This window comes from Homo sapiens, chromosome 19 (assembly GCF_000001405.40).
Source record: "Homo sapiens chromosome 19, GRCh38.p14 Primary Assembly".
In the NCBI taxonomy this organism is placed as follows: domain Eukaryota; kingdom Metazoa; phylum Chordata; class Mammalia; order Primates; family Hominidae; genus Homo; species Homo sapiens.
The window spans coordinates 54,572,988-54,593,049 of NC_000019.10; the positions used below are offsets into that span (position 1 = coordinate 54,572,988).

Sequence of the window (20,062 nt, forward strand, 5' to 3'; positions counted from 1 at the left end):
GCATTTCCCCTTTTGAGACAGGGTCTCACTCTGTCACTGAGGCTGGAATGCTAAGGGGTGATCATAGCTCCCTGCAGCCTCCGCCTCCCAGGCCGAAGTATTCCTCCCACCTCAGCCTCCTGAGTAGCTGGGACTAGAGATGTGAGCTGCCATGCCTGGCTAATTTTTTGCTTTTTTTATACAGACAAGGTCTTGCTATGTGGCCCAGGGTAATCTGAAGCTCCTGGCCTCTAGCCTTCACCCACCTCAGCCTCCTGAAGTGCTGGGATTCCAGGCATGAGCCACCATGGTAGACCCTGCATTACTCCTCTGTGCTCACTGCCACACGCAGCTCAACCTGAGCTACACAGCCAGGTGTCAGGTGCGTCTCTGCTGATCTGAGTCTAACTGCAGCATGGACCTGGGTTTTCCCTGAAGCATCTCCAGGGCTGGAGGGACGACCGCCATGGTAAGGACCCCGCAACGCTGAGCTGATGGACGGGCTGAAGGAGGGAGGGAGACCCCATGGGGAAGCTCTGAGAAGGAAGAGGAAGCCTCTGCTCACCCTCATCTGGAAGGGCAGACGCAGGAGGGCACCAGTTCTATTTGCTGCTACATCCCAGGTCTCAAGGAGATGAGGATAAACCAGACAGACAGTGGCTGGGGGGCAGGAAAGACCCCATTACAGTCTGAAATGTCTGCAGAGGGCCTGGTGCCTGCCCCCACCTCAGCCCTAAAGGTATGACAGCCAGGCTCCTGAGAGGGCAGTTGCACTTCCTGTGTGGTTGCACATAACAAAACCCCATGACAAGAAGGATCCAGCCTCCGAGTGTCCACACCCTGTGCGTCTCTCTGTCCTGCCAGCACTGAGGGCTCATCCATCCGCAGAGCAGGGCAGTGGGAGGAGACGCCATGACCCCCATCCTCACGGTCCTGATCTGTCTCGGTGAGATTTGAAGAGGGAGGGGAGCTTCTAACCTAGGAGGGACCTCACCCCACAGCCAAACTCTGGTCCCTAAGGAGACCCCAGGGGCTCACAAAGATCCCAGGGAGGGGAGGACCTGCCCAGGCTTCAGGGGAAAAATCCCTCACAGGGAACTCTCTTCCAGGGCTGAGTCTGGGCCCCAGGACCCACGTGCAGGCAGGTGAGTCTGTTCCCAGCTGTCCCAGGTCCCTCCTCCTCACTAGGGACAAGGGGCCACCCCCGTGCAGCTGGGGATGGGGAATAGCAGTTCTGGGCTGACTGATGGGGGTGTCTGGAGGGTCCTGCAGCTGAGAGCTGAGATCTGTTGGGTGGGAAATGACTTAGAATCCGACCTCTGATTTCCTTCCAGGGCACCTCCCCAAGCCCACCCTCTGGGCTGAGCCAGGCTCTGTGATCATCCAGGGAAGTCCTGTGACCCTCAGGTGTCAGGGGAGCCTTCAGGCTGAGGAGTACCATCTATATAGGGAAAACAAATCAGCATCCTGGGTTAGACGGATACAAGAGCCTGGGAAGAATGGCCAGTTCCCCATCCCATCCATCACCTGGGAACACGCAGGGCGGTATCACTGTCAGTACTACAGCCACAATCACTCATCAGAGTACAGTGACCCCCTGGAGCTGGTGGTGACAGGTGAGAGGACACTCAGGAGTCCCAGCCCCAGGCTCTGCCCTCAGGAAGGGGGTCGGCTCTCAGGGGCATCTCCGCTCTCACAGCTCAACCCTGGGGATGATGTGGGAGGTGGGAGCCCCATTTAACACAGTGCCTCCTTCTCTCCTAGGAGCCTACAGCAAACCCACCCTCTCAGCTCTGCCCAGCCCTGTGGTGACCTCAGGAGGGAACGTGACCCTCCAGTGTGTCTCACAGGTGGCATTTGACGGCTTCATTCTGTGTAAGGAAGGAGAAGATGAACACCCACAACGCCTGAACTCCCATTCCCATGCCCGTGGGTGGTCCTGGGCCATCTTCTCCGTGGGCCCCGTGAGCCCGAGTCGCAGGTGGTCGTACAGGTGCTATGCTTATGACTCGAACTCTCCCTATGTGTGGTCTCTACCCAGTGATCTCCTGGAGCTCCTGGTCCCAGGTGAGAAATTCACAGAATTGCTTGGAGTTCCCTGAGTCTCCCTGAGTCTCCAGGCAGGTGGGGAGCAGCCGCGTCTCAGGGCAGCTCCAGGTGGGATGATGTTGGGGCGAGAGGGCTCAGGGCTCCTGGGGCCGGAGACACAGGAAGATCAGCGGGGGAGAGGGAGGGTTTGTGGGGAAGCCTGAGGGTCGGCTCCTGGAAACCATGAACACCTTTTCCCAGGTGTTTCTAAGAAGCCATCACTCTCAGTGCAGCCAGGTCCTATGGTGGCCCCTGGGGAGAGCCTGACCCTCCAGTGTGTCTCTGATGTCGGCTACGACAGATTTGTTCTGTATAAGGAGGGAGAACGTGACTTCCTCCAGCGCCCTGGTTGGCAGCCCCAGGCTGGGCTCTCCCAGGCCAACTTCACCCTGGGCCCTGTGAGCCCCTCCCACGGGGGCCAGTACAGATGCTACAGTGCACACAACCTCTCCTCCGAGTGGTCGGCCCCCAGTGACCCCCTGGACATCCTGATCACAGGTGAGGAGCCCAGCGGGTTCAGTCAGGGACCCAGGCTCTGCACAGGCCCTGCCAGGGGAGCCCAGGTGGTGATGGCCGGAATGAGGGTTGGGGGTCCCAAGGGAGGGAGAGACAGAGAGAGACAGGGGATGGGCGGGGAGGGGAGACTCAGAGAAAACAGAGACAGAGAGACTAAGGGTCCCAGGGAGAGGCCTGGGGAGGTCTCAGCTCAGAACAAGGTGGGGCAGCCCCTCACCCATCCTTCTTCTCTCTAGGACAGTTCTATGACAGACCCTCTCTCTCGGTGCAGCCGGTCCCCACAGTAGCCCCAGGAAAGAACGTGACCCTGCTGTGTCAGTCACGGGGGCAGTTCCACACTTTCCTTCTGACCAAGGAGGGGGCAGGCCATCCCCCACTGCATCTGAGATCAGAGCACCAAGCTCAGCAGAACCAGGCTGAATTCCGCATGGGTCCTGTGACCTCAGCCCACGTGGGGACCTACAGATGCTACAGCTCACTCAGCTCCAACCCCTACCTGCTGTCTCTCCCCAGTGACCCCCTGGAGCTCGTGGTCTCAGGTGAGGGCCCTGATCTTGTCCTCTCCGAGCTCAAAGGCTCAGCTCAGGCCCTGCCCCCAGCAGAGCTCTGGGACAATAATGAATGAGGGGAGTGAAGCGGGAGGGTCCACAGGGGAGGGTCCAGCCCATGGGAGAGTGGAAATAGGCAGGGACCTCCCACCCCTGGCTCCCACCCCTGAAGTCTCAGTAAAGAGCATGAAGGGCTGGGAGGAGACGGGGGCGGGGGGGCGGGTGGTGAACCTCAGAGATGTGATTAGACTGAGGGTGGAAGACGGAGACCCCACCCGCTCCCCTCCTGATGTCTCCACCTCAGAATCAGAGCCTCTGGGGGTCCCAAACCCTATGTCCTGACCCCATGGGTGACAAAACCAGCCACTCCCAGCTCAAGAGAAGTTTCTAGACTCATCTCAATGCTACCTCCAATATTCAGGGTCTGATTTCCAGGGCAGCAGCGGGGAGGGTGGACAGTAAGGGTGTGGTCTGCGTGGCTTCCTGGGGCTTCAGGGATGGGGCAGGTGTTCCCTCCGTGGTGTTCAGAGGGGAGGGAGGTGTCTGAGGTTCAGCATTGATGAGCGGAGCAGAGGGATCTTTCCCCCTCCCTGAGCAGGATTCCCAGGAGCCGTCACCTCTCATGGGGGAGCCAGGGTCAGGGGAGATCACAGTCAGGTACTTGGTCTAGGAGTCAGGTGGGAGGAGCCCGGGGAGGTGGGGCTGGGTCTGTGATGGCTCAGCCTCTCCTTGGGAGGTGGAACTTCTGAAAGAGCCCATTCCCCTTGCACCCTGGACTCCTCATCTGAATAAGGGGGAGCTGCCTGGATGTGACTGCCCCAAAGCCCCTTCATTTCTGACCTTCTGGGGCATCTGGGATGTGGCTCATCCTAGACCTGCTCCCGTCTACAGCCCTCTCTGGCCCTCTCCTAATTCTCCCAATAACTGAGACTTGTTAAGAGTTAAAAAACCAACGGAGATGGGGGCAGGTGCATGCAGTTTTACCCATCCCTCCTGGAATCTCAGCTTAGTAAGACAAAGACACAATATTTTGGAAAAAACAAAAGTTTACAAAACCCCGCTGGTTGAGAGTCTCCCCTCTCTCGTGTACAAGAGAAAATGTCTCCAATTTTCTACCAAAATCAATAGCTGGCACAGCTCTGCAGGACCCCCAGCCCCTGGCCTTGTCCTGCAGGATGTGTGATGAGTAGAGGAAGGAGAACAGGCTGGGTGGGGAGGATTTGGGGTCCAGGCCTGACTTGGACACTGGGAAGATGCTGGGGCTGATGGAGGAGGAAGAGAGGCAGGTGAGTTGGAGAGAGGACAGATGGACAGTGTATTGGCAGCTCTCATTTCTCATTTCCAAGAGCCCCTGAGTATAAGCCCTTCACCCACACCTGCGGGGTCCCTGGGCCATCTCAAGACAAGAGAGGAGGCTGCTTGGGCCTCGGTGGGATCTGACTGTGATGAGGCTGGAGTCCACCCCAGATGTGCTCCTTTAGAGAGAAGCACCCCAGCTGTGGGTGCCGCTCACACTGCCCCTCCTGTGCTCACCTGGAGGCCTCTGTGCTCAGGGCATCCCTGAGAATAAGGAGGGGCCCTGCACCTGCTCCCTGGACAAGTCAGGCAAGTATTCACAGCACGTCTTTCTGTTTAACTCATTTCTACTCTGCATTTTCTGTATGCACTTGTCCTTTGTTACTTTTTTTCTAAAACTTTTAAAACAGTATTTGAATATATGAATTTATAATATATGAACTTAAAATTGTATGCATATATTATTTAAAAATCCTTATTTATACTCCCCTTTAATTGAGTCTTGATTTAATTTATACATTCAATGTAGAAACAAATTTCTCATTAATATCAACTCTTCCTCCTTCACACATTAAAAATGAAGATTTTCTTAATGAATTTAAGACATGTTTTGAAATTTTACTCCTAAGAATATTGTATGCTCATTTTAACTTAAAGAATTATTCAACATCTTTAACAATTGATAAGTGAGGTATTTGATTTCTTTATATATATATATATATTTTATTATTATAGTTTAAGTTCCAGGGTACATGTGCACAATGTGCAGGTTTGTTACGTAGGTATACAGGTGCCATGTTGGTTTGCTGCACCCATCAACTCGTCATTCACATTAGTATTTCTCCTAATGCTATCCTTCTCCCAGCCCCCCACCCCTAGACTGGCCCCGGTGTGTGATGTTCCCCGCCCTGTGTCCATGTGTTCTCATTGTTCAACTCCCATTATGAGTGAGAACATGCGGTGTTTGGTTTTCTGTTCTTGTGACAGTTTGCTGAGTGATGGTTTCCAGGTTCATCAATGTCCCTGCAAAGGACATGAACTCATCCTTTTTAACGGCTGCATAGTATTCCATGGTGTATATGTGCCACATTTTCTTAATGCAGTCCACTGATGGACATTTGGGTTGGTTCCAAGTCTTTGCTATTGTGATTAGTGCCACAGTAAACATATGTGTGCATGTGTCTTTGTCGTAGAATGGTTTATAACCCTTTGGGTATATGCCCAGTAATGGGATTGCTGGGTCAAATGGTAGTTCTAGTTGTAGATTCTTGAGGAATCGTCACACTGTCTTCCACAATGGTTGAACTAATTTACACTCCCACCAACAGTGTAAAAGCGTTCCTATTTTTCCACATCCTCTCCAGCATCTGTAGTTTCCTGACTTTTTAATGATTGCCATTCTAACTGGCATGAGATGGTATCTCACTGCTGTTTTGATGTGCATTTCTCTGATGACCAGTGATGATAAGCATTTTTGCATATGTCTGTTGCCTGCATAAATGTCTTCTCTTGAGAAGTGTCTGTTCATATCCTTTGCCCACTTTTTGATTTTTTTTTTTTGTAAATGTGTTTAAGTTCTTTATAGATTCTGGATATTAGCACTTTGCCAAATGGGTAGATTGCAAAAATTTTCTCCCATTCTGTAGGCTGCCTGTTCACTCTCATGATAGTTTCTTTTGCTGTGCAGAAGCTCTTTAATTAGATCCCATTTGTCTATTTTGGCTTTTGGTGCCATTGCTTGTGGTGTTTTAGTCATGAAGTCCTTGCCCATGCCTATGTCCTGAATGGTATTGCCTAGGTTTTCTTCTAGGGTTTTTATGGTGTTAGGTCTTACATTTAAGTCTTTAATCCATCTTGACTTAATTATCGTATAGGGTGTAAGGAAGGGATCCAGTTTCAGCTTTCTACATGTGGCTAGCCAGTTTTTCTAGCACCATTTATTAAATAGGGAATTCTTTCCCCATTTCTTGTTTTTGTCAAGTTTGTCAAAGATCAGATGGTTGTAGATGTGTGGTTTTATTTTTGAGGGCTCTGTTCTGTTCCATTGGTCTATGCATCTGTTTTGGTACCAGTACCATGCTGCTTTGGTTACTGTAGCCTTGAAGGGTAGTTTGAAGTCAGGTAGCGTGATGCCTCCAACTTTGTTCTTTTTGCTTAGGATTGTCTTGGCAATGCGGGCTTTTTTTTGGTTCCATATGAACTTTAAAGTAGTTTTTTCCAATTATGTGAAGAAAGTCAGTGGTAGCTTGATGGGGATAGCATTGAATCTATAAATCCCTTTGGGCAGTGTGGCCATTTTCACAATATTGATTCTTCCTATCCATGAGCATGGAATGTTCTTCCATTTGTCTGTGTTCTCTTTTAATTCATTGAGCAGTGGTTTGTAGTTCTCTTTGAAGAGGTCCTTCACATCCTTTGTTAGTTGGATTCCTAGGTATTTTATTCTCTTTGTAGTAATTGCAAATGGGAGTTCACTCATGACTTGGCTCTCTGTTTGTCTATTATTGGTTTATAGGAATGCTTGTAATTTTTGCACATTGATTTTGTATCCTGAGACTTTGCTGAAGTTGCTTATCAGCTTAAGGAGATTTTGGGCTGAGTCAATGGGGTTTTAAATATATAATCATGTCATCTGCAAGCAGAGATAATTTGACTTTCTCTTTTCCTAATTGAATACACTTTATTTCTTTCTCTTGCGTGATTGCCCTAGCCAGAACTTCCAACACTATGTTGAATAGGAGTGGTGAGAGAGGAAATTCTTGTCTTGTGCCGGTTTTCTTTTCTTTTTTTTTTTTTTTTATTATACTCTAAGTTTTAGGGTACATGTGCACATTGTGCAGGTTAGTTACATATGTATACATGTGCCATGCTGGTGTGCTGCACCCACTAATGTGTCATCTAGCATTAGGTATATCTCCCAATGCTATCCCTCCCCCCTCCCCCGACCCCACCACAGTCCCCAGAGTGTGATATTCCCCTTCCTGTGTCCATGTGATCTCATTGTTCAATTCCCACCTATGAGTGAGAATATGCGGTGTTTGGTTTTTTGTTCTTGCGATAGTTTACTGAGAATGATGGTTTCCAATTTCATCCATGTCCCTACAAAGGATATGAACTCATCATTTTTTATGGCTGCATAGTATTCCATGGTGTATATGTGCCACATTTTCTTAATCCAGTCTATCATTGTTGGACATTTGGGTTGGTTCCAAGTCTTTGCTATTGTGAATAGTGCCGCAATAAACATACGTGTGCATGTGTCTTTATAGCAGCATGATTTATACTCATTTGGGTATATACCCAGTAATGGGATGGCTGGGTCAAATGGTATTTCTAGTTCTAGATCCCTGAGGAATCGCCACACTGACTTCCACAATGGTTGAACTAGTTTACAGTCCCACCAACAGTGTAAAAGTGTTCCTATTTCTCCGCATCCTCTCCAGCACCTGTTGTTTCCTGACTTTTTAATGATTGCCATTCTAACTGGTGTGAGATGATATCTCATAGTGGTTTTGATTTGCATTTCTCTGATGGCCAGTGATGATGAGCATTTCTTCATGTGTTTTTTGGCTGCATAAATGTCTTCTTTTGAGAAGTGTCTGTTCATGTCCTTCGCCCACTTTTTGATGGGGTTGTTTGTTTTTTTCTTGTAAATTTGTTTGAGTTCATTGTAGATTCTGGATATTAGCCCTTTGTCAGATGAGTAGGTTGCGAAAATTTTCTCCCATGTTGTAGGTTGCCTGTTCACTCTGATGGTAGTTTCTTTTGCTGTGCAGAAGCTCTTTAGTTTAATTAGATCCCATTTGTCAATTTTGTCTTTTGTTGCCATTGCTTTTGGTGTTTTGGACATGAAGTCCTTGCCCACGCCTATGTCCTGAATGGTAATGCCTAGGTTTTCTTCTAGGGTTTTTATGGTTTTAGGTTTAACGTTTAAATCTTTATTCCATCTTGAATTGATTTTTGTATAAGGTGTAAGGAAGGGATCCAGTTTCAGCTTTCTACATATGGCTAGCCAGTTTTCCCAGCACCATTTATTAAATAGGGAATCCTTTCCCCATTGCTTGTTTTTCTCAGGTTTGTCAAAGATCAGATAGTTGTAGATATGCGGCATTATTTCTGAGGGCTCTGTTCTGTTCCATTGATCTATATCTCTGTTTTGGTACCAGTACCATGCTGTTTTGGTTACTGTAGCCTTGTAGTATAGTTTGAAGTCAGGTAGTGCTACAAACCACTGCTCAAGGAAATAAAAGAGGACACAAACAAATGGAAGAACATTCCATGCTCATGGGTAAGAAGAATCAATATCGTGAAAATGGCCATACTGCCCAAGGTAATTTACAGATTCAATGCCATCCCCATCAAGCTACCAATGACTTTCTTCACAGAATTGGAAAAAACTACTTTAAAGTTCATATGGAACCAAAAAAGAGCCCGCATTGTGCCGGTTTTCAAAGGGAATACTTCTTTGCCCATTCAGTATGATATTGGCTGTGGGTTTGCTATAAATAGCTGTTATTATTTTGAGATATGTTCCATCAGTACCGAGTTTATTGAGAGTTTTTAGCATGAAGGGCTGTTGAATTTTGTCAAAGGCCCTTTCTGCATCTATTAAGATAATCATGTGGTTTTTGTCATTGGTTCTGTTTATGTGATGGATTACATTTAGTGATTTGCCTATGTTGAACCAGCCTTGCATCCCAGGGATGAAGCTGACTTGGTCATGGTGGGTAAGCTTTTTGATGTGCTGCTGGATTTGGTTTGCCAGTATTTTATTGAGGAGTTTTGCATCAATGTTCATCAGGGATATTGACCTAAAATTATCCTTTTTTGTTGTGTGTCTACGAGGCTTTGGTATCAGGATGATGCTAGCCTCATAAAATGAGTTAGGGAGGATTCCCTCTTTTTCCATTGACTGGAGTAGTTTCAGAGAGAGTGGTACCAGCTCCTCTTTGTACCTCTGGTAGAATTCGGCTGCGAATCCTTCTGGTCCTGGATTTTTTTTGGTTGGTAGGCTATTAATTATTGCCTTCATTTCAGAACCTGTTATTGGTTTATTCATAGATTCAACTTCTTTCTGGTTTAGTCTTGGGAGGGTGTATGTGTCCAGGAATTTATCCATTTCTTCTAGATTTTCTAGTTTATTTGTGTAGAGGTGTTTACAGTATTCTCTGATGGTAGTTTGTATTTCTGTGGAATCGGTGGTGATATCCCCTTTATCATTTTTCATTGCATCTATTTGATTCTTCTCTCTTTTCTTGTTTATTAGTCTTCCTAGCGGTCTATCAATTTTGTTGATCTTTTCAAAAAACCAGCTCCAGGATTCATTGATTTTTTTGAAGGGTTTTTTGTGTCTCTATCTCCTTCAGTTCTGCTCTGATCTTAGTTATGTCTTGCCTTCTGCTAGCTTTTGAATTTGTTTGCTCTTGCTTCTCTAGTTCTTTTAATTGTGATGTTAGGGTGTCGATTTTAGATCTTTCCTGCTTTCTCTTTTGGGCATTTAGTGCTATAAATTTCCCTCTACACACTGCTTTAAATGTGTCCCAGAGATTCTGTTATGTTTTGTCTTTGTTCTCATTGGTTCCAAAGAACATCTTTATTTCTGCCTTCATTTCATTATTTACCCAGTAGTCATTCAGGAACAGGTTGGTCAGTTTCCATGTAGTTGTGTGGTTTTGAGTGAGTTTATTAATCCTGAGTTGTAATTTGATTGCACTGTGGTGTGAGAGACAGTTTGTTGTGATTTCTGTTCTTTTACATTTGCTGAGGAGTGGTTTACTACCAATTATGTGGTCAATTTTGGAATAAGTGCAAAGTGATGCTGAGAAGAATGTGTATTCTGTTGATTTGGGGTGTAGAGTTCAGTAGATGTCTATTAGGTCTGCTTGGTTCAGACCTGAGTTCAAGTCCTGGATATCCTTGTTAACCTTATGTGTCATTGATCTAATATTGACAGAGGGGTGTTAAAGTCTCCTATTATTATTGTGTGGGAGTCTAAGTCTTTTTGTAGGTCTCTAAGGACTTGGTTTTTGAATCTGGGTGCTCCTGTATTGGGTGCATATATATTTAGGATAGTTAACTCTTCTTGTTGAATTGATCCCTTTACCATAATGTAGTGGCCTTGTCTCTTTTGATCTTTGTTGGTTTAAAGTCTGTATTATCAGAGACTAGGATTGCAACTCCTGCTTTTTTTTTTTCTTTCCATTTGCTTGGTAGATCTTCCTCCATACCTTTATTTTGAGCCTATGTGTGTCTCTGCACATGAGATGGGTCTCCTGAATACAGCACACTGATGGGTCTTGATTCTTTATCCAATTTGCTGGTCTGTGTCTTTTAATTGGAGCATTTAACCCATTTACATTTAAGGTTAATACTGTTATGTTTGAGTTTGATCATGTCATTATGATGTTAGCTGGTTATTTTGTCCATTAATTGATGCAGTTTCTTCATAGTGTCAGTGGTCTTTACCATTTGGCATGTTTTTGCAGTGGCTGGCACTGATTGTTCCTTTCCATGTTTAGTGCTTCCTTCAGGAGCTCTTTTAAGGCAGGCCTGGTGGTGACAAAATCTCTCAGCATTTGCTTGGCTGTAAAGGATTTTATTTCTCCTTCACTGATGAAGCTTAGTTTGGCTTGATATGACAGTCTGGGTTGAAAATTATTTTCTTTAAGAATGTTGAATATTGGCCTCCACTCTCTTCTGGCTTGTAGAGTTTCTGCCAAGAGATCCGCTGTTAGTCTGATGGGCTTTTCTTTTTGGGTAACCAGACCTTTCTCTCTGGCTGCCCTTAATATTTTTTCCTTCATTTCAACCTTGGTGAATCTGATAATTATGTGTCTTTGGGTTGCTCTTCTCAAGGAGTGTCTTTGTGGTGTTCTCTGTATTTCCTGAATTTGAATGTTGGCTTGCCTTTGTAGGTTAGGGAAGTTCTCCTGGATAATATTCTGAAGAGTGTTTTCTAACTTGGTTCCATTCTCCTCGTCACTTTCCGGTACACTAGTCAAACATAAATTTGGTCTTTTCACATAGTCCCATATTTCTTGGAGGCTTTGTTCATTTCTTTTCATTCTCTTTTCTCTAATCTTGTCTTCTTGCTTTATTTCATTAATTTGATCTTCAGTCACTGATATCCTTTCTTCCACTTGATCGAATCAGCTATTGAAGCTTGTGCATGCATCACGAAGTTCTTGTGCCGTGGTTTTCAGCTGCATCAGGTCATTTAAGGTCTTCTCTACACGGTTTATTGTAGTTAGCCATTCATCTAACCATTTTTCAAGGTTTTTAGCTTCCTTGCAATGGGTTAGAACATGCTTCTTTAGCTTGAAGAAGTTTGTTATTACCGACCTTCTGAAACCTACTTCCATCAACTTGTCAAACTCATTCTTCATCCAGTCTTGTTCTGTTGCCGGTGAGGAGCTGCGATCCTTTGGAAGAGAAGAGGCACTCTGTTTTTGGAATTTTCAGCTTTTCTGCTCTGGTTTCTCCCCATCTTTGTGGTTTTATCTACCTTTGGTCTTTGATGTTGGTGACCTAGGGATGGGGTTTTGGTGTGGATGTCCTTTTTGTTGACATTGATGCTATTCCTTTCTGTTTGTTAGTTTTCCTTCTAAGAGTCAGACCCCTCAGCAGCAGGTCTGTTGGTGTTTGCTGGAGGTCCAGTCCAGCCAGACCTTATTTGCCTGGGTATCACCAGCAGAGGCTGCAGAACAGCAAATATTGCTGCCTGACCCTTCCTTTCGAAGCTTCATCCCAGAGGGGCACCCACCTGTTTGAGGTGTCTGTTGGCCCCTACTGGGAGGTGTTTCCCAGTCAGGCTACACGGGGGTCAGGGACCCACTTGAGGATGCAGTCTGTCCGTTGTTGGAGCTCTAATGCGGTGCTGAGAGAACCACTGCTGTCTTCAGGGCTATCAGACAGGGACGTTTAAGTCTGCAGAAGCTACCTGCTGCCCTTTGTTCTACTATGCCCTGCCCCCAGAAGTGGAATCTGTAGAGGCAGTAGGCCTTGCTGAGCTGTGGTGGGCTCCACCCAGTTCGTGCTTCCAGGCATCTTTGTTTACACTGTGAGCTACTCCAACCTCAGCAATGGTGGATGCCCTTCCCTCCATCCAGCTGCAGCATCGCAGGTCGATCTCAGACTGCTGCGCTAGCAGTGAGCAAGGCTCCGTGGGTGTGAGACCTGCCGAGCCAGGCACGGGAGGGTATCTCCTGGTCTGCCAGTTGCTAAGACTGTGGGAATAGTGCAGTAGTTGGTCAGGAGGGTACTGTTTCTCCGGATACAGTCTGTCACGGCTTCCCTTGGCTAGGAAAGGGAAATCCTCCGACCCCTTGTGCTTCCCAGGTGAGGCGACACCCCATCCTGCTTCAGCTCGCCCTTTGTGGGCTGCAGCCACAGTCCAACCAGTCCCAATGAGATAAACCAGGTACCTCAGTTGGAAATGCAGAAATCCAGCTGCAGACCGGAGCCATTCCTATTCGACCATCTTGGAAGCGACACCTATATTTTTTTTAAAGAAGGATAGGTATCCATGAGAAAGTGACTGGTTTCATTATGTTCTTTTTATTTGTTATTCACCCACTAGAGAATGGCTCCTTTCTAATTACTCTTCAATGATCTCCTTTAATTTCTGGTACAATTTTAGAAATCATAATACATGGAAATTTTATTTCTTTATTTCTAAATTACATGCCAATATTTCTCAAATATTAACGTGTATATAACTACATAATAAATACATTTCTGAAGTTTTACATATATACACAGGTTCTATACATTACACATGATGTGAGTGGAGGTATATCTAAACACATTTTTATATGTATTCATCCATATGCTTCACATATTTGACATGACAGGTCTTTACAGGTTTGTTATTGGTCTTCTTATCTAGACTCACACTTGCTGGAGCAGAAGTATTCATTTATGAACCTCGGATAGCACCAGCATTTAACATATGCATATTTGTGTGTGTGGGTGGGTGTGCATGCACGTGTATTGCATTCTAGGGGTTACTGCCTGTATGAGGAATTAGTTACCTAAGGATTAAACGGAAGATGAAACCCCAGGTGAAGTGGTTGAGGGCATGAAGGGGAGGCAGACCCAGACTTTCACCCCTTTGTGTTCCTGACATTCAAGAGCCCCTGAGGTCCAACCCCTCCTCCATGGAGCCTGGGTCCTCAGCTGGCGGATCCGTGAAACTCATCTCTGGGGAGCATTGGCTTCTGTGGTCCTGCACCTGCTCCTTGCAGCCAGTTAGGGCTCAGAGAGGACACAGAGAGCACACAAGGTCCCAGGCTGCACAGAGAGCACATAAGGTCCTGGTTATTTCTGTATTGGGGACCACTTACCATATCCATGCTGAGCTCCCGGGATGCAGGAAAACTCTCCCAAATGACTCAGGAGCTGAGTTTGGATTTGTAGAACACAGGAAGTCTGAAATAATTCAATGAGGAGACTGGAGGGAACCCTGCTACAGCAGAGGAAGGGTTTATTGAGGAACTCCATAAAACTCATGTCAAGAGACACAGGGGAAAAGAAGAATGCAGAGCCCAGGAGTGAGGCTGGGCTCAGGGCTCTTCTCCACTGTTTTGATTCTCAGAAGCAGCTGAGACCCTCAGCCCATCACAAAACAAGACAGACTCCACGACTAGTGAGTGAGGAGATGCTCTCAGTTATGGGACTGGCACAGAGGGTCAGGTCCTGTAAAGGGGAGGTGGGTGCCCTGGGTGGACATACAGGAGTCCCGGGGTGATTCCGATCTGCCCTGACCTCTGTGACCTCTTTGTCCAGCATCCCTAGGCCAACACCCCCAGGATTACACAGTGGAGAATCTCATCCGCATGGGTGTGGCTGGCTTGGTCCTGGTGGTCCTCGGGATTCTGCTATTTGAGGCTCAGCACAGCCAGAGAAGCCTACAAGATGCAGCCGGGAGGTGAACAGCAGAGAGGACAATGCATCCTTCAGCGTGGTGGAGCCTCAGGGACAGATCTGATGATCCCAGGAGGCTCTGGAGGACAATCTAGGACCTACATTATCTGGACTGTATGCTGGTCATTTCTAGAGACAGCAATCAATATTTGAGTGTAAGGAAACTGTCTGGGGTGATTCCTAGAAGATCATTAAACTGTGGTACATTTTTTTGTCTATGAATGTTGACTTCCCTTGACTGGATCCCCTTTTTTTCCCATCCCCAGACATGAGGCTCCATCCCACATGGCACCGTTGGGTCCACACCTCCACACACCTGTGTGCTCTGGTCCACGGCATGTGACACAGTCTTCCTTATTCCTCATTGTCACACTCCTTGATGTCACTTACTGAGTCCCCGTCTCTTCAGTTCAGAGATCCAAACCTGAACCACCAACTAAATCAACGACAGGAGATCAGATTCCAACCAGGAAAACATAAATCCACCCTGCTGCCCTGACACCCTCTCTGTACCTTATGAGCCCTTCCCTCTTTCTCAGATGCTATCTGTGTAATTTCTCCTGAAATATCACCACTTGGAATCATCACACTGGCATTTCAAGTGACACCACAGCTATGCTGATTCAGAAAAAGACATCTCTAAAATACTGTAATTAGTGGTATCTACCAATTTCTGTGACATAAATATTTTTCTCATGGCCCAAATCAAGGTGCCAATGGGTTCTCACTGAATACAGGGTTGGGAAGCAAGGGACAGAACTGTCTTCACTAATGAGCACCAGGGACCTGTGGCACATCCCACTGAGAGCTCACCCATATACCTACAGTCCTTTCTATTTCAGAGGCAATGATCACTTCTACTTCAGTGTTATGGCACAGGTCAAATGAAATTCTGACACTGTTATCCTAGCATATCCACAAAAGACAAACCTATTAATATCTGATGTGGGAGATAACACGGCTCACCTAAAAATCAAAGTACATGCCGGGCGCGGTGGCTCACGCCTGTAATCCCAGCACTTTGGGAGGCCAAGGCAGGCAGATCACGAGGTCAGGAGATCTAGACCATCCTGGCTAACATGGTGAAACCCCGTCTCTACTAAATACACAAAAAAATATTGGCCGGGCGTGGTGGTGGGCGCCTGTAGTCCCAGCTACTCAGGAGGCTGAGGCAGGAGAATGGCGTGAACCTGGGAGGCGGAGCTTGCAATGGGCCGAGATTGCGACACTGCCCTCCAGCCTGGGCGACAGAGCAAGACTCCGTCTCAAAAAAAAAAAAAAATCCAAGTACAACATAAGAAAAATGTTAACAGAACTATGCAGTTTCGATGAAAGAATTTTTTTTGAGATGGAGTTTTGCTTTGTTGCCCAGGCTGGAGTGCAATGGTGCAATCTCGGCTCACTGCAACCTCCACTTCCCAGGTTCAAGCAATTCTCCTGCCTCTGCCTCCCGAGTTACTGGACTACAGGTGTGCACCACCATTCCCGGCTATTTTTTGTATTTTTAGTAGAGACGGGGGTCTCGCCATGTTAGTGAGGCTGGTCTTGAACTCCTGACCTCAGGTTATCCACCTGCCTCAGCCTCCCAGAGTGCTGGGATTACAGGTGTAAGCCACTGTGCCCGGCTGATGGAAGAATTCTTAAATGACTCGTTCTACTTTCTGCTGGTCCAGGCACTCCTTGGCTTGGGGCAGCATCCCACCAGTTTCTGCCTCCATCTTCTCAATGCTTACACCTACCTGGTTGCCTCTGTCTTCACACCCATTCTTCTGTGTGTGTCTTTTCTCTTCTTCAGATTATGATATCACTCAGATCAGATTAGGACTCATCCTAATTCGTTATGATCCCTTGATCATAACTTAAATGCATTTGCAAAGACTCTATTTCCAACTATGTTCACATTTATAGCTAATGGGGCTCAGGATTTCAACGTGTATATTAGGGGGAACAAGTCAATTTATGACAGTGTCTACAAGAAAAGTATGCATAGAAATACATTTAACCAAATACAAAAATTAGGTGGGTGTGGTGGTACACGCCTGTAATCCCAGCTACTCAGGAGGCTGAGACAGGAGAATCGCGTCAACCCAGGAAACAGAGGTTGCAGTGAGCTGAGATCTTGCCATTGCACTCCAGCCTGGGCAACAGAGTGAGACTCTGTCTCAAAAAAAGAGAAATACATTTAACCAAAGAGATGCAATACGTATACATTGACAATTTTAAAATACTGCTCAAAGAAATAACAAAAGACCTAAATGAGGAAAAAGTCATCCCAGTATCATAAATCAAAAGGCTTAAAATTAGTTATCTCCCTCTAGGGAACCTAGACTAATACACTCACCCCGTCTCCTTGTTCGGAGGCTCTCCTGCCTATCAGCTTTTCTCCTCTGTGCTTTCCATGTCCCTGTGGTTCTCTGGTGAGCCCCATCATGCTGTCCTAGAAGATCCACTTAGAATTTCGGTATTTACTCACCATTTTGACTCCTCTTAACGAGACAGGCACATGCCAGCTGTTTCCATTCATCCAACCTGAACCTGAGCCCCCGATCATTTTTTCTACCACTTTTCAGTCCTGGGAAACTCAGTCCCAATGTGCTTGTCATTCATTTGAGAATAATTTTCATTTTCTCCAGTAGTTTTAAAATTACTTTGTATCTATTCTAGATATCGTTTGCTCTATCATAGTTAAGACATTAATGTTATTTATGAATTTGTGCACATTAAACTCATGATCTTTCATTTCTGTAAAAATGTCAACTATTTCCTTTGCAAGTATTTATTGACTAACATACTCCTTATTTCCTTCATTCTGAAAGTGTGACACATAGAGATATATCTGTTTCCTCTTCTCACTCTATTCTTTGTGTGCATTAATTATCTTTTCTATTTTTTTCATTTCTAGTTTTTCTCCGATGACTAATGAAAAATTTAATAAATATTCTACACCAATACAATGTTTATCATTTCAGCAGTGTCTGGTTCTTGATGAAAGTATTTCTAAATGTGTTAATATAATTTACTATTTTCACATCACAATAGCTTCCTAATTCATTTCTATAATTGCCTGTTTTTTCTCTAATGGACTCTTCGATTTTTATTCCTCTGGGGTGGGTTTTTCTCCCACACACCTGATCTTCCATACAGGGTTTCTCCCAGGGATGACTCAGGAAGGAAAACTGATGAGGGGCATTTTTGTACCCGCTCCTGCCCTGCGGTGTCCATGCTCCCAAGTTTAGAATCAGCTCTGTGTTATGCCTGGCATGGTGGAGCCCATGAGACCCTCACATTCAAGTGCCAAAGATGCCCGGTCCAGCAGTGATAAAGCGAGACTGTGTCATGCACACCCGGGAAGGTGGCTCAGTGCTGAATGTGGCCTGGGTCACCAAACCAAGCAATCCCAGATTCTGTCCACAAATACAGAAGAGAGGGAGCCACAGTCTCTCTAGGATCCCACGGTTTCCTCCACTTTTTCCTTTGTTCTGAGAGAAAGACAAAGTGCCATGACTGCTCTGTGGGCTGGACAGATGCCTGTTTTCACCTGCAGGCTTGAACTCAAGCTGAGGTCTTGAGCATTCCCAGGTACTGATAAAGCACCTTAGATTGTTTCTAGAAAACACTGAAAAATTAACCCTTTGTTAATTATGTAGAAACAAACCCTGCCCTGAACCAAACTCCTGAAACGCTCAGGTTAAACTTTGTAACTCAATCCCTTCACTGCAGATACCCAGTAGGAAAGTCACATGAGCAAGGATGAGATGACTTTGGTTAAACTCAGACCCCACAGGGCCAGGAAGGCCTGACGGAGAGGAGGCTCGTGTTGCCAGGTCTCAGATAAGAACTGTTTCTAAGGACTTTTTTAAAAACCCCATAAGAAACTCTTCCATGTCTTTCACCCCTCTCCTGCTTTGACATGGTTTATTACTAGATATTCTTTAGGACATCAGGAATGCAGATAGGCTGCTCTCGAGAGAATACTTGCCCAGCAATGGCATCTCCTCCAATGGACTGACAGCAACTCTGGCTTTGAACCTCTGGAACCAGGGAACTCTGCTTCTAAGCAGCTCTGTCAGCCTCTCCCTTGTTGCTGATAAGAATTTCCTTTACCTCTCTATGTACAGAGAGCTCTCTCTATGATGTTTTTCCTCTACTCTCACACCACAACAGTCATCAACACAGGAGACTTGTAGGATCAGATGTGTGGGATTGTTTCCCAGACCCAATAGCGAACAGCAGCTGGGTGTCCTCTAAGTCGGCTCCGAGCTGTCTACCCAGACACAGTCCCAGATCCCACAGATTGAAGGCCCATTCTCCAAGATTGCCCCCACACACCATTCCCAAGTCCAGACCTCCAGAACTTCTGACTGACTGGCTTCAAGTTGGGGATCCCATGACCACCTCTTTGGGTTTGATTAATTTGCTGTAGCAGCTCACAGAACTCAGGGAGACACTGACGTTTACTGGTTGAATACAAAGCACACTGCAGAGGACACAGATGAAGAGACTCATAGGAGGAGGCATGGGGGAAGGGACCGGAGCATCTATGCCCTCCCTGGGCGCCACGCTCCAGGAACCTCCGCATGCTCAGCCATCCAGAAGCCCATGAAACCCAGTCCTCTTGGGCTTTTAAGGAGCTTCGTGACATCAGCATTTCCTCCCACAAGGAACAGGGTGAGACCATCTTCTGGGAGGGTCTTAAGAGCCACCATCAGAAAGGCAGGGAACATTCGAGTCTTGCCTTGGGCAGGTGAAGGAAGGGCAGGAGGAGGTCAGAGGCCTCCCCTAAGGCCTAACACAGCCAATACTCTAACAAAAGACTGTAACCAGTGGTATGGAGTTATAAGCCAGGAACCGCGGGTGAAAACCAGTGTGTATCACAACATCACACTTCCCTCTCCGGATGCACTGTGTCTTGCCATGCCATGCACTCCAGATTGTAATCTTTGCTTCTCATTGTCAAATACAAGCAAAATCCAGGCAACCCTGGAGCAATGCAGCCTTGAATTCCTGGGGTCTCTTGTATGCACACTCTCTTCAACCAAACGGGGATCATAACTATGGCATTTGTGGGATGCAAATCCTGTGTATACGAATGGCAGACTTTCCCTATACATGGTGCAGTGGAGCCAGCTTCAGGGCTGGAGTACAGGCAGGTTTTGTGACATGTGGGCCACGGACTGGAGCCAGTTCCCTTGTACACCAAAGAACAACTGTACTTAGAGATAATTTTCTCTAGATTTTTGTTTTGTTTTGTTATTTTAGGTTAAAGCATTGGATAGAACACCCAGTGTCACCTTGTCTACCTCCAGGACATGCTGCAGGGCCCACTCTATGGAAGTCCCTCTAACAAATGCTCTATGAACACCCTGGTGTTTAGTGCTTCTTTCTTTGGAATCCCAGCAGCTCTATCACTGGACGGTTTGGTGCACTCCTTTGATGGAATTCCTCTGGGCTGCTTGGGGTCCACTCCAGCCTCAGGTGTAGCTGGAGGACGCAGCCTCCCACCTTGGTCTGGAGCCCTGAGGCCCTCACTGTCATTGCAGATCCCGAGGTTCCTCTCCCACCTCCATTCAGTGGTGGAAAACTCCATTCTAATTACCCCTTGAAGGTCCTGGGACCCTCTGGCCTCTGTTCTTTCTTGTGGATCCACCTACACTTGGGAACTTCCTCACCTCTTTTTCTGCTCATGACATTGATGCTCTGGGTATTTCAGA

General features: G+C 46.5%; 1 protein-coding gene across 7 annotated transcripts; it reads left to right on the plus strand.

Moving 5' to 3' along the window:
• LILRA2 (leukocyte immunoglobulin like receptor A2) lies at positions 1 to 17,300 on the plus strand. Of its 7 annotated transcripts, NM_001290271.2 has the most exons (9): positions 1 to 448; positions 844 to 925; positions 1,089 to 1,124; positions 1,314 to 1,595; positions 1,744 to 2,046; positions 2,269 to 2,565; positions 2,820 to 3,122; positions 4,478 to 4,736; positions 14,214 to 17,300. In NM_001290271.2, the coding sequence occupies exons 2-8, from the start codon at positions 892 to 894 to the stop codon at positions 4,693 to 4,695; spliced, it is 1,473 nt and encodes a 490-aa protein (NP_001277200.1). In that variant the 5' UTR covers positions 1 to 448; positions 844 to 891; the 3' UTR covers positions 4,696 to 4,736; positions 14,214 to 17,300. The 7 variants fall into 7 exon arrangements, with proteins under 7 accessions (NP_001277200.1, NP_006857.2, NP_001124389.2 ...); NM_006866.4 differs by lacking the exon at positions 4,478 to 4,736 and having other exon boundaries at positions 711 to 925; NM_001130917.3 differs by lacking the exons at positions 1 to 448; positions 4,478 to 4,736 and adding an exon at positions 14,023 to 14,073 and having other exon boundaries at positions 803 to 925.

Excerpts from the sequence above, each read along its gene's own strand:
- LILRA2 (NM_001290271.2), top strand. The coding sequence starts at position 892 with ATGACCCCCATCCTCACGGTCCTGATCTGTCTCG. Across the intron at positions 1,125-1,313 it reads CAGGACCCACGTGCAGGCAG|GGCACCTCCCCAAGCCCACC; the intron begins GTGAGTCTGTTC and ends ATTTCCTTCCAG. Across the intron at positions 2,566-2,819 it reads CCTGGACATCCTGATCACAG|GACAGTTCTATGACAGACCC; the intron begins GTGAGGAGCCCA and ends TCTTCTCTCTAG.